General features: G+C 41.4%; 1 pseudogene, besides 1 other annotated feature; it reads left to right on the top strand.

The window, feature by feature from the left end:
- Positions 6,910-7,019: a silencer, noted in NCBI's record as "silent region_5784". NCBI's record gives its function as "represses an Ori minimal core promoter by ATAC-STARR-seq in GM12878 lymphoblastoid cells {active_cell/tissue: GM12878}" and the evidence as "EXISTENCE:reporter gene assay evidence [ECO:0000049][PMID:35858748]".
- Positions 12,298-13,153, top strand: RPL7AP4 (ribosomal protein L7a pseudogene 4; annotated as a pseudogene).

The raw sequence follows: 13,530 nt of genomic DNA on the forward strand, positions 1-13,530 counted from the left end.
GTCATCTTTCTATTGTCATCTCTCCTTTCCAATTACTCTCCCTCTAGGTCAGAAGCATTTCTATGTGCTTTTTCTACTGGTAAATCTACATTAAGAGACCTTCAGTTTTCAGAAATTGCCCCTGTCTTTTCATTACAATTCTAGGTATGAATTTTTACCTCAGTAAGGTTGTAAGTAGGCAACAAAACCATATCAGCCGTAAAGCTTTTTTTTTTTGAAGACAGAGTCTTGCTCTGTCACCCAGGCTGGGGTGCAGTGGTACAATTTTGGCTCACTGCAATCTCCGCCTCCCAGATTCAAACGATTCTCCTGCCTCAGCCTCCTGAGTAGCTGGGATTACAGGTGCATGCCGCTTGGCTAATTTTTCTGTATTTTAGTAGAGACAGGATTTCACTGTGTTGCCCAGGCTGGTCTCGAACTGCTGAGCTCAGGCAATCTGCCCGCCTCGGCCTCCCAAAGTGCTGGGATTACAGGTGTGAGCCACCGCGCTGGGCCTTTTTGTTTGTTTTTAAGTATATCTTTTCTGTAGGCAACAACCAAGTGGCAAAGTAAGTACTTTTAACACTATTTACTAATAGGCTTGTGGAAATCATTATCAACCTAAAGAAATACAACTACTGTAAGAAAGCTTTGCTGGTAAAAGGAAACAAAAATAGTGTCACTAGAAGTTGCATTTTTCTGTGGAAATGTGATACCATCTATAAGAAAATATTAAATCCTTAAAAAAAACAAAAACAAAAAAACAAAAAAAACTAGCAGTTCAGCCCAGGCATGGTGGCTCACGCCTGTTCTCCCAGCACTTGGGGAGGCCGAGGCAGGTGGATTACCTGGAGTCAGGAGTTTGAGACCAGTCTGGTCAACATGGCAAAACCCTGTCTCTACTAAAAAGACAAAAATTAGCTGGGTGTGGTTGCGCACGCCTGTAATCCCAGCTACTCAGGAGGCTGAGGCAGGAGAATAGCTTGAACCCAGGAGGCAGAGGTTGCAGTGAGCCGTGATCGCATCACTGTACTCCAGCCCGGGCGACAGAGTGAGACTCCATCTCAAAAACAAATAAATAAATAAATAATAATAAACTAGCAGTTCTGAGAGCCCCAAGAACCATTCATTTATTCACTCAACATTTACTATGTGCCTTTTCTATGCCAGAGACTGTGCTGTTGATAAAGTGAATGAAACATGGTTCTAGACTTTGAAAGACTTACTGCTAGTAGAGGGAGAGAAATATGTAAAAAAATAGCTAACAACAACAAAAAATCATAATTCTAATAAAATGCTTTCATGAATGAATAGACAAGAGCTAACATTTATTGTCAAGCACTATATAAAGTGCTCTATATCAACAATCAAATTCAATAATCAAAGTATTGATAATCAAATTCAACCCATATGACAGGCATATGTGGTGAGTGCTATTATTTTCTTCATTTTATTGATGAAGAAACTGAGCTCAGAGAGGTTTAAAGATGTGCCTGAGTTAGTAAGTAGTAGAGTTGGATTCAAACCAGTGATCTCTAGCAGTTGAGGAAAAGTCCATGAGAACATGACTCTCAAAAAACAATTAGTGCTTGAGTCCAGGAGTTGGAGACCAGTCTGGGCAACATAGGAGACGCTGTCTCTACAAATAATTTTAAAAATTAGCCAGGTGTCATGGCCCACACTTGTGGTCCCAGCTACTTAGGAGGCTGAGGTGGGAGGATCACCTGAGTCTGGGAGGTCAAGGCTGCAGTGAGCTGTTATTGCGCCATTGCACTCCAGCCTGGACAACAGAGCAAGACCCCACCCTGTAAATTAGGTATTTCCTGGTATGAAGGCTGGAGGAGATGAGTGAGGGTAGGGCAGTCCTGGAAAGAGAGAAGATGGCGCAAGGGTTTGGGAGACAGGATCCCTGGGGTCTGTTAGGGATGCAGGGAGCAATTGGTAGAGCACTGGGTGACGGGTGGGGTGGAGAGGGGAGAGAAGGCTGCAGAAGCAGCAGGGCCCAGAGCACAGGCCCCTTGTGTCCTATTGAGGAATGGCAGGTTTGTTTCATGAAAGGCACTTAAGCAGGAGAGTGACAGGATCAGATGGGCATTTCAGCACAATTGTTCTGGCGGCAGTGAGGATTAGAGAAAAGGAGGCAGGAAACTATTTGTCTCTGTCTCGGGAGACCAGGAAAGTAATCCCGTTCCTGAGAATTTAGCCTGGAGAAACTCTCAAACATCTGTTCAAAAACAGCAATGCTCCACTGTTTGTATTAGCAAAAAACCCTAAATGTTCTTCCACAGAGAATAAATAAATAGATTGTAGTATAGAGCCATAATAGAATACCATATGGTAGTTAACATGAATGAATTAGGGCAACATGTGGCAAAAAGAAGAAAAAACAAAATTGAGTGAAGGAAGCAGGCTGCAGAGAATATATACAGTATGACGTTATTTTAGTAAAGTTTAAAAACCTACAAAGTGCACTTTGAATTGTTTATGAACATATAAATGTCTACAGAAAATATTAACATACGTGAGATTGATAATAGCAAATTCATGAGAATGCCCTGGGAAAGGGGGACTCAGGGACTAGGGGACGAGCTAGTCAAGGTGGGTTTCAATACCTATATTTTTATATAATATGTATTAATACATATGTAGTAAGTAAGTAGTGGAGCTGGATTCAAACCAGTGACCTCTGGCAGTTGAAATATACATTAAATACATAAATTTATATATATTTCTTTAAATAAACTGGCAAACATGACATGATAATGTTGAGATGTTGATAAAACTAGTAGAACACAATTGTTTATTATTCTCTGAACTCAATTGTATATTTGAAACAGATTATGTCATTTTTAAAAAGTGAAGCTTGGACCCAAAAGCAAAAGAACAAAGAGGAAGAAAGAAAAGAAAGCAAGCACTCTGGAAGCAGTGCAGCCCAAGACAGGGAGCTGGGCGATAGACCCCGAGATGTCCTCCAAGAAGTGGCGTGAACTGGTGCAGTGGCAGCAGGAAAGGGAGGCCGTGGGAAGCAGGTGGACTGTTGGGTCATGGGAAGTGGGGGAGGCGGTGGAATCCAAATGACTCCCAGCATTTTGGCTGGTGTGGCTGAGTGGGTGGACAAGCCAATCACCAAGAAAGGGAATGTAGGAGAAGTAACAGGTTTGGCTGGGTTGTGATGCACAAAGATCAGTTTCAGACTTGTTCAGTTTGACATTCTTCCAGGAAGAAACATCCAATATGCAATCTGATTTTTAGGCTGGGGGTTCAAGGTCTGGGACAGAAATAGAAATTTGGTCATCATCAGCATTTGGGGGAAATCATGATCATTATGAGATTATAAGTCTTAATTTAACAAAAATGCACATATATACTATGCATAACAATTAAAATGTTTTGTTTTGCTTGTTTTTGTTTTTTAAAGAGACAGGGTCTTGCTCTGTTGTCCAGGCTGGAGTGCAGTGGTGCTGTCATAGCTTGCTGCAGCTTTGGACTCCTGGGCTCAAGTGATCCTCTCACCTCAGCCTCCTGAGTGGCTGGGACTACAGGCACGAACTACCATGCCTGTCTAATTTTTAAATTTTTTGTAGAGATGGAGTCTTGCTATGTTGTCCAGGCTGGTCTTGAACTTCTGGCCTCAAGTGACTTTCCTGCCTTGGCCTCCCAAAGTGCTGGAATTATGGGGGTGAGCCACAGCACCTGGCTAAAATATATTTTAATGGAAGATGAGCTCAGGTACAAGAAGTATCATATGTAAGTAAAATACTAATTCTGACTTTTACTCATTGTATTGGAAATTCTAAAAGTAGTAACCTGCCCCATTACCTATGATGTGGAGTATTGTGTGGTCTGAAGGAACTTAATAATGATCCACCAGCAAAAAGACATTGCCAAATCACCAATGGGAAACCAACCTGATGTTGGCAACCCAGCTAATGCTCAGAATCACCAGGGTAATCTACAAAAGTGATGCAGAATTCAGACTGACTGAACCAGAATCCTGGGGGCGGGGCCTAAGAATCAGATTTTTGAAAAGCTCCATAATCAGGCTGGTCATTGGTTGGGTGTAGGAGATGCGGTAACAGTTCCTGGACAGCAGTCGCCATCTGCCTTGGTGGGGTCTGTCTGCCTCTGTGTGATGCTCCACTGGGACCTTGGAAAAATCATTTCAACTCTTTGTTTTTTGGTTTGTTTATCTATAAATGGGGGTAAAAATAGTACCTACTCTTGGGTTAGCTGTAAGGATTAAATGAATTAATTTATGTCAACTACTTATAATAGGGTCTGGCACAATAGTATAAACATGCCATAAAAGATAGTTACTAGTTTTTATTAACATATATGCCACAAGTGCACTGGCACACCATTTCTGCTACTATTTTTGTTAACAAAAATATTCTAATAATATTTTTTAAAAGAATAATAGTCTATACTTGAGTCCTTTATGCTAAGATTGTCACTTCTCCTATCTTCCAAGCCTCCTGAGGTTTTTGCCTTACTTGTTCTATTTCTTTGGCACAGGACATTTATCCTGGAGCTATTGGAAACATGGAGGCATATTTTATGCACTAACTAGCCTGAGAGAGTTTTGGCATTCAATAGTAGGTGGATTCTGATTCAAATGGTTTATTACTCTCCAGTGCCTCAGCAGACCTGATGATATTCAGAGTTTCTGGCAGCTTCAGAGGCAGTATTTCATTGGTTAAGAAAATTGCTTCTAAGCAAATCTGGTTTGTTGGACTTCAGGCCCATGCATGCCCTAAATACCTAATTATATGGACTTAAACTGATTTAGAAATATTGTATTCCAACCAGATTTTTGAAGGGAAGATTCCCGAATTATTTTGGTAAACATAGGGTATTAATCCAAAAAGGTGCATAAAGATGAAAAAGAACACATGTACATTATAGACATACTCTTAACCAATCTTACTAATCACCTCATGCTAACCATGCACCTTGGGTATATTTTGTGAATACCATGATGACTCATCTTGACAGAATTCCTTCCTTTGAGCTGGAGATGCAAGGTTAAAAAAAAAAAAGAATTTTCCTTTACGTTGAAAGTTACTCAGTAGTTTTGACTTCATGAGAAGCTAATAATTATAAGATTTTTACCTATTAAGCAGTTAATTCTAAACAATTACTAAAGCACATTTGGAGAGCTAAGACAAAACAAAGCCAAGTGAGAGAGGGAATGAAATGATGCAGCATTAAAATTTCAACACAGAATAAAAATGCTCAACTTTACCAGTCATTAGGGAAATGCAAATTAAAACCACAGGGAAATACCACTACATACTTAGCAGAATGGCTACAATCAGAAAAACTGTCAATCAACTGTTGACAAGGATGTGGAGGAACTGGACCTCTCAAATACTGCTGGTGAAATTGCAAAATGGTACAACCACTTTGGAATCAGTTTGACAGTTTCTTATAAAGTTGAACTATGCTACTATTTGTCCCAGCAGTCTCACTCTCAGGTATTTACCCAAGAGAGATGAAAACTTAAAACAAACACCTTTATGTAAATACTTATAGCAGCTTTATTCATAATTATCCCAACCTGGAAACAACCCAAATGTCCTTCAGTGGGTGAATGAATAAATAATCTCTGGTATATCCATGTGGAAGGCTGAATAATGACCCTTCAGATAATATCATGGCCTGATACCTGGAACCTGTGAATGTTACCTTATATGGCAAAGAAAAAGAAAAAAAGACTGCAAATGTGATTAAGTTAAGGATCCTGGCATGGGGAGATTTCATGTATCCTTATAAATGAAAGTTAAGGGGAGATTTGACTCTAGACAGACAGAAGATGAGGCACTATGACCAGAGAGGCAAAGATTGGAGTGATGTGGCCATAAGCCAAGGAATGCTGGCAGCCACCAGTAGCTGGCAAGTAACAGATTAGCCCCTAAAATTTCTAGAGGCCCTGCCAACACCTTGATTTTAGTCCAGTAATACTGATTTTGGACTTCTGGCCTCCAGAACTGTGAGAGAATAAATTTCTGTTGCTTTAAGCTATCAATGTGGTAATTTCTTATAGCAGCCACAAGAAACTAATGCCCCGCACAATAGAATACTATTCAGTGATAAAAAACGAACCAACTATTGATATATACAACAACATGAATGAATCTCTGATGTATTATGCTTAGTGAAAGAAAGACTCAAAAGGCTGTATCTTTCATATATCACTGTATGATTTCATTTCTATAACATCCTTGGAAAGGCAAAACTACAGGAATCAAGAACAGATCCATGGTTGCTGGAGTTAAGGTTGATTATGAAGGAGCAGCCTCAAGAAGATTTTTGGGATGACAGAACTGTTTTTGTTTTGTTTTGTTTTTTTAAGACAGAGTCTCACTGTGTCACCTAGGCTGGAGTGTAGTGGCACAATCTCGGCTCACTGTAACCTCTACCTCCTGGATTCAAGTGATTCTCCTGCCTCAGCCTCCCAAGTAGCCGGGATTACAGGTACCCGCCACCATGCTTGGATATTTTTTGTATTTTTAGTAGAGACAGGGTTTCTCCATGTTGGCCAGGCTGGTCTCAAACTTCTGACCTCAGGTGATCCGCCTGCCTCGGCCTCCCAAGGTGCTGGGATTACAGGTGCGAGCCACCACGCTCAGCCAACAGAACTGTTTTGAATGTTGATTGTGATGGTGGTTTATACACTCTATTTACTTGTCAAAACTCAAAAAACTGTATAGCAAAGAGAGTAAATATTACTGTATGTATACTTTAAAATAAAATTTAAAAAACAGCTCAAGCTTTAGCAGCCAGGAAAAATGTTGAAGTGTTAAACTTCAAAGATCATGTAACACAGGTTCCTGCCCTAAGAAGCACTGGTTTTCAACTCAGACCTCAATCAGAAAGTTTCTCTTTCTATCAAAGCAGAAGTTAACCCTTTCTTTGGTGGCTGACAATGTAGCAACACAAAAGAGTGGAACTGAGAGCATCTTTTTATAGACCACTGGAGAGAGAACACAGAGTTCATATGAGAGAGAAGAGAATGCTCCTGGGCCATGAGAAGAGAGAGAAGCCTCATTTCCAGGGCACTTGGTAACAGGAGTCTGCATTTGTAGGGTGTATTAAAAGGAACAAACTTCTTTAAGAACTATCCTTGGCCAGGCGCAGTGGCTCACGCCTGTAATCCCAGCACTTTGGGAGGCCGAGGCAGGCGGATCATGAGGTCAGGAGATCAAGACCATCCTGGCTCACGTGGTGAAACCCTGTCTCTACTAAAAAAAATACAAAAAATTAGCCAGGTGTGGTGGTGGCAGGTGCCTGTAGTCCCAGCTACTTGGGAGGCTGAGGCAGGAGAATGGCGTGAACCCAGGAGGTGGAGCTTGCAGTGAGCCGAGATCATGCCACTGCACTCCAGCCTGGGCGACAGAGCAAGACTCTGTCTCAAAAAAAAAAAAAAAAAAAAAAAAGAGAACTGTTCTTAAGGTGAATTTCATTTATTTATTTATTTATTTTTGAGATAGAGTCTTGCTCTGTCGCCAGGCTGGAGTGCAGTGGCGCAATCTTGGCTCACTGCAACCTCCGCTTCCTGGGTTCAAGCAATTCTCCTGCCTCAGGCACCTGAGTAGCTGGGACTACAGGCACGTGCCACCATGCCCAGCTAATTTTTGTATTTTTAGTAGAGATGGGGTTTCACCATGTTGGCCAGGATGGTCTCAATCTCTTGACCTCATGATCCGCCCTCCCATAGTGCTGGGATTACAGATGTGAGCCACTGCGCCCAGCAAGGTGAATTTTAAACAACCAAAGACTGAGAATTTCTGCTAAAGGTCAAGGATGCAAGAAAGTGACATCCTACTGCATGCAGATCTGAGTGAGACAAGAGATGAGAGGCATAGCAGAGTTTGGACAGTACAAAATGTAAAGTGGACCAGAGTAGAGCCTATTCTCAGTCATATCAACCTCACTAAAGGTTTTCACTCAGAAGGGAATGAGTGTTTCTGACAGAATCCTTGCAACATTGGTCATCTATAGTATTCATTATGCTTGACTGTAGTGTTAGCATTCCATGTACTAGTTCTGTTATTGTCAACAGTTCTTTTGTTGCTTTCACAAAATTCAATGTTGAAGTAACCCTTTTAGGCACTGCTGCCATGCAGGCTTGTTAATTAGAAGCAAGTTGAATGCTGGAGGATGATTACCAAAAATGATCGTTTGAGTTTTGAAATACTGTAAATACCATCTCTGAAACTTGTGTGGTCCAAAAACTTAAGCAGTACAAAATGCAGTCTTGTTATTTTGTGGTTAATAAAACTATTCAGAGTGCAAAATTACAACAAGGTAGAGTTGTTCATTGATTGCCCTGGATAATTTTAAGAGTTTGACTCTGCTATCCAGTCTATCCTGGTCCCTGCTGGAGTTTGATATCATATGGCAGCAGTTTATTGACATAAATATTTCTGGGGACAATTCTGGGTCCTGTGGCTGGCTGAGTCTTCTGGGACAGCAAAAATGATTCCAGGAATCTCTGGGTTAGTTGGCTCTCATCTCGATGGCTTAATCCAGAGACTGGGCCAAGAATATACTGTGGACTCAGGGACTCACTTCAAACTCTGCACTTCTTGAGATTGGAATTGTATGCATTTTCCCTCCCTGGCCTAGGCCTCATTTTCATATTCCTCTGCTGAAGATAATAATTTTCGCTGACTCTTGTTTGAGAATCAGGGTTGGGCAGATAATGGAAGCCAATTGACAATTGCCTTATATTTGAATTAATATAATTTCAGGTATGTCATCACTGTGGGTTTTGTTCGTTTGTTTTTATAGTAATTGGGATTAATTCATTATCTTTGACAAGTTGAAATCAGGCCAATTATCTGTTAGGCCAGTCGAAGTTTGAGAAGAAAAAACATGTTGTCATCTTAAAATGTAGTGATACTGAGCCTGCTTGTCCTCAGATATATTCCTCACTCTTCTCCTGCTCTGCAGGCCTGTTTCTCAGCACCTTGTACCAACTGAAATCTAGCTGAGTTTGACTAATGGGAGGCTGTTATAGCCAGAATAATGGTTCCTCAAAGATGTCCACACATTGCCTGGCAAAAGGGACTTTGTAGATGTGATTAAGGTTATGAGATGGAAAGATTATTGTGAATTAGCCATGTGGACTCACTCTAATCATATGAGCCCTTAAAACAGGAGAGAGTTCTCCGGCTGGGAGCAGGAGAGATAAGGCAGAGGGGAAGTCCGGGAAATTGGAAGCATGAGAAAGACTTGATCTGCCATTGCTGGCTCTGAAGATGAAGGGAGGCATGAACCAAGGAATGTGGGGGCAGCCTCTAGAGGTTGAAAGTCACTCCTATTTGACACTAAAGAAAGGAAACTGGGACCACAGTCTTACATTATCATGGAGCTGAATTTGCCAACAACCTGAAAGGGCTTGGAAGCAGATTCATACCTAGAGCCTTCAGAAAGGAGTGCAGCCCTGCCAACATCTTGATTTTGACCTTATGAGACTCTAAATAGGGGACCCAGGTGAGCCACACTGTACTGGGACTTCTGCTGTACATTTGTGACCCGTTGGGGTTGTAGTAATATTAGTTTTTCATATAGTCCCTCCAACCCAAGGGTCCTAAGAGCTTCCTGCTGTTGCTCTGCCCATCTGAGGTAACATCCATTCTCAGGTAGTCTTCTCAGGTAGTCTCAGATGCTGAGATCCAGTCTCAGCATCTTTTATCTCCTGTGTTATCAAGTCAGTGTAGTAAATTCCCTCTGCTTTAACTATTCTGAGTGGTTTCGATGTCCTAATTTGACCCTGTGTGACAATTATAGGATAATAGATATCTTGAAGTTTTTGGTGGTGTTGGAAGGGGGATGCAATCATTCATTCATTCAATAAACATTTATTGACAAGTCTATACTATATATCAGCAGTGAACAGGGAAGACAATCCTTGACTTCAATGAACTCTGCTCTTTAGTCAGGTAGGCAGAACTCTAATCAGGAATTGAAATAAAGCATTAGTATTGTGATAAGCGAAGAACAGAGGCCTATGAGAACATAGAGCAGGGAGTTCTTAAACTGATCTACGATCTAGAGAAGGATTCAATAAAGAGGAAATATTTAATGAGACTTGAAGATTGAGTAGGCTTATCCAGATCTTCCAAAAGTATAATTAATAAGGTGGGAAAGTGGGGTTGGTAGAGATTAAAACAACCCTGTTTTCTCCTGCTAGAACTTTAAATTGTTTTATTAAAAACAGTTTCTCTCAGTCCTGACTCTGTTGATAATATCAAGGTATTGGTTTTGAATAAACACTATGAGTCAGCAGGGTTACAGTAAACTCATAAGCTTAGTCAATGTCTGATTCTTGTCTGTGCAGAAGGAATGAATCAATAATGTGAAGGAAAGGTTAATACCATTTTCAAATATTATAAAGTTCTGTTGGATTGCCTAACCCAGCAGCCATTCTCAATTCCTTTCTTGCCTGCCCATCACATTTTCATTCAGAGGCTTCTTTTCCCAGCCTCTTGTAGCTGGGAGCATCCCTGAAACATAGGTCTGGTCAACCAGACTGAAGCAGGATTTGTTGAGGATTTTCTGTCTTCCTAGTGAAAAGGACAGACGGGGCTTATGCTGCTTTTCCTCTCTTCGTACCTTGAATTGAGATATAATGTCTGAAATCACAACAGCTATTTTGTGGTCACGAGGCAACAAATGCAAATTTAAAAGCCATTATGATAAAGCATGGTCTATAGTAGAAGAGTATTTCCCAAATCCTGTTTGCTCCTTATATAGAATCTAGCCTTAGAAGCCTTTGACTTGAGCTTTACTGAGGAAGAAACTGCATATGTCAAGCAGGAAAAACAAAAGCAAAAATGAGCCTTTTTCTTTACTATATAAGTAATATGTGTCAATTTTAGATAAATTACATATGATGTGTGAATTTTTAAAAAACCTAGATAGGACTTCTTGTTTCCCACCTGGCATATAAGAAGCTTAGAAGTTACCACGCTGGCCTTACAATAAGTAAAAAGCTGAACAAACTGAAAAATCGAGAACTCTTCTTAGATCTGTCAGAGAGTGAGATCACAGGGCAAACTGCTGCCTCAAAGATTGGAGAGAGACAGGCAGAAGCAGAATCACAACTTACTGGAGCAGAAACCTCTGCGGAACCAGTGACAGGATAACTGAACTGTAATTGATGAATTAATAGAGGCTCAGTGTGGGCAGCTCTCAGAGTTAAAAATTCCAGGGAGACCCAGTCAAGGTGGGGATGGGGGCACACTTTTGTGAGTTTTACTTCTGGGAACTCTACCAGCTCCTCACAATAAATATCGGATAATGTTATTGGATAATAAAGGAATAGGAACAATATTTGAAGCAATAATGACTGAGAATTTCCCCCAAATTAATGTCAGACACCAAACCACAGATCCAGGAAGCTCAAAATCAAGCAAGATAAATGCCAAAAACATTGCAACTATACATACGATATTAGATCATAAATATTGTGCTTCTGGCAGGGGGAGGGGAAAAAGAAACCATTTTGAAATACACCAGAGCGTTTTATTTTTCCTAACAAGGCCTGCCTCAGGAGAAACTATTTTACCAGAGCCCTACTTGCTGGGGCTTTATCACGGCCTAACCTACCTGGGGGAAGTGAAAGACCCAACTCCAGCCTCCTCTAGCTATCTTGTCTCACCTAAGAGGAAAAACACCTGAAAAGCACTTGTGAAGTTCACAGTGCAGGGGCACAGGCTCAACAAAAGACTGAGACCAGGCTGGGTGCAGTGGCTCACAACTGTAATCCTAGCACTTTGGGAGGCTGAGGCGGGCGGATCACCAGAGGTCAGGAGTTTGAGACCAGCCTGGCCAACGTGGTGAAACCCCGTCTCTACTAAAAATACAAAAATTAGACAGGCATGGTGGTGCATGCCTACAATCCCAGCCACTTGGGAGGCTGAGGCAGGAGAATTGCTTGAACCAGGGAGGCAGAGGTTGCAGTGAGCTGAGATTGCGCCACTGTACTCCAGCCTGGGCGACAGAGCAAGACTCTGTCTCAAAAAAAAAAAAGAAAGACAACAACAATAAAAACTGAGACCTAATCGTAGGACTATAGAACACTTCCTCCCCCTCCGCCCAGACACCTTACCACTGCATTACTAAAATCCTATTTACTTTACTTTTTTTTTTTAAAACTCAGTACACCATGTTCACCTTTAACAAAAGCTTAAAAGGCATACTAAAAGGCAAAAAATGCTGTTTGAAGAGACTGAATGAGCATCAGAACCAGACTCAGATATGACAGGAATGTTGGAATTATCTGACTAGGAATTTAAAAAACTATAATTGCTCTCTCCTCCTGCCACCCAAGATGCTGAAAAGAAGGCCAAGGGCAAAAAGGTGGCTCTGGCCTCTGCTGTCGTAAAGAAGCAGCAGGCCAAGAAAGTGGTGAATCCCTGTTTGAGAAAAAGCCTAAGAATTCTGGCATCGGACAGGACATCCGGCCTGAAAGCGAGCTCACTCGTTTTGTGAAATGGCCCCACTATATGAGGGCAGAGAGCCATTCTCTATAAGCGGCTGAAAGTGCCTCTTGCGATTAACCAGTTTACCCAGGACCTGGAAGGCCAAACAGCTACTCAGCTGTTTAAGCTGGCCCAGAGACAAAGCAAGAGAAGCAGCAGAGGCTGTTGGCCCTGGCTGAGAAGAAAGCTCTGGGCAAAGGGGGCATCCCCACTAAGAGACCACCGGTCCTTCGAGCAGGAGTTAACACCGTCACCACCTTGGTGGAGAACAAGAAGGCTCAGCCCGTGGTGACTGCACAGGATGTCGAGCCCATCAAGCTGGTTGTCTTCCTGCCTGCCCTGTGCCATAAAATGGAGGTCCCTTACTGCGTTATCAAAAGGAAGGCAAGGCTGGGATGTCTAGTCCACAGGAAGACCTGCACCAATGCTGCTTTCACACAGGTTAACTCGGAAAACAAAGGGGCTTTGGCTAAGCTGGTGGAAGCTATCAGGACCAATTACAATGACAGATCTGATGAGATCTGCCGTCACTGGGGAGGCAAGGCCCTGGGTCCCAAGTCTGTGGCTCACATTGCCCATATGGAAAAGGCAAAGGCTAAAGAACTTGCCACCAAAGTGAGTTAAAGGTACACTGTTGAGTTTTCTGTATATAAAAATAATTAAAATAATACAAATTCTCCCAAAAAAACTATAATCGATAAGCTAAGGGTTTTAATGATAAAAGTAGACAACATGGAATAGACAAATAACATAAACAGAGAGATGAGTATTCTAAAAAAATGCTAGAGATATGAAAAGACTGTTACAGAAATGAAGAATGCCTTTGATGGGCTCATTAGAGACTGGATATGGCTAAGGAAAGAATCTCTGAGCTAGAGGATATGGCAATAGGAACTTGTAAAACTGAAAAGCAGAGAGAAAAAAGACTGAAAAATCAGAACACAATATTCAAAACTGTGGGACAACTACAGAAAGTATAGCATATACATAAATGGGAATACCAGAAGGATAAGAAAGGAACAGAAGCAATATTTGAAGCAATAAAGACTGAGAATTT

This window comes from Homo sapiens, chromosome 14 (assembly GCF_000001405.40).
Source record: "Homo sapiens chromosome 14, GRCh38.p14 Primary Assembly".
In the NCBI taxonomy this organism is placed as follows: domain Eukaryota; kingdom Metazoa; phylum Chordata; class Mammalia; order Primates; family Hominidae; genus Homo; species Homo sapiens.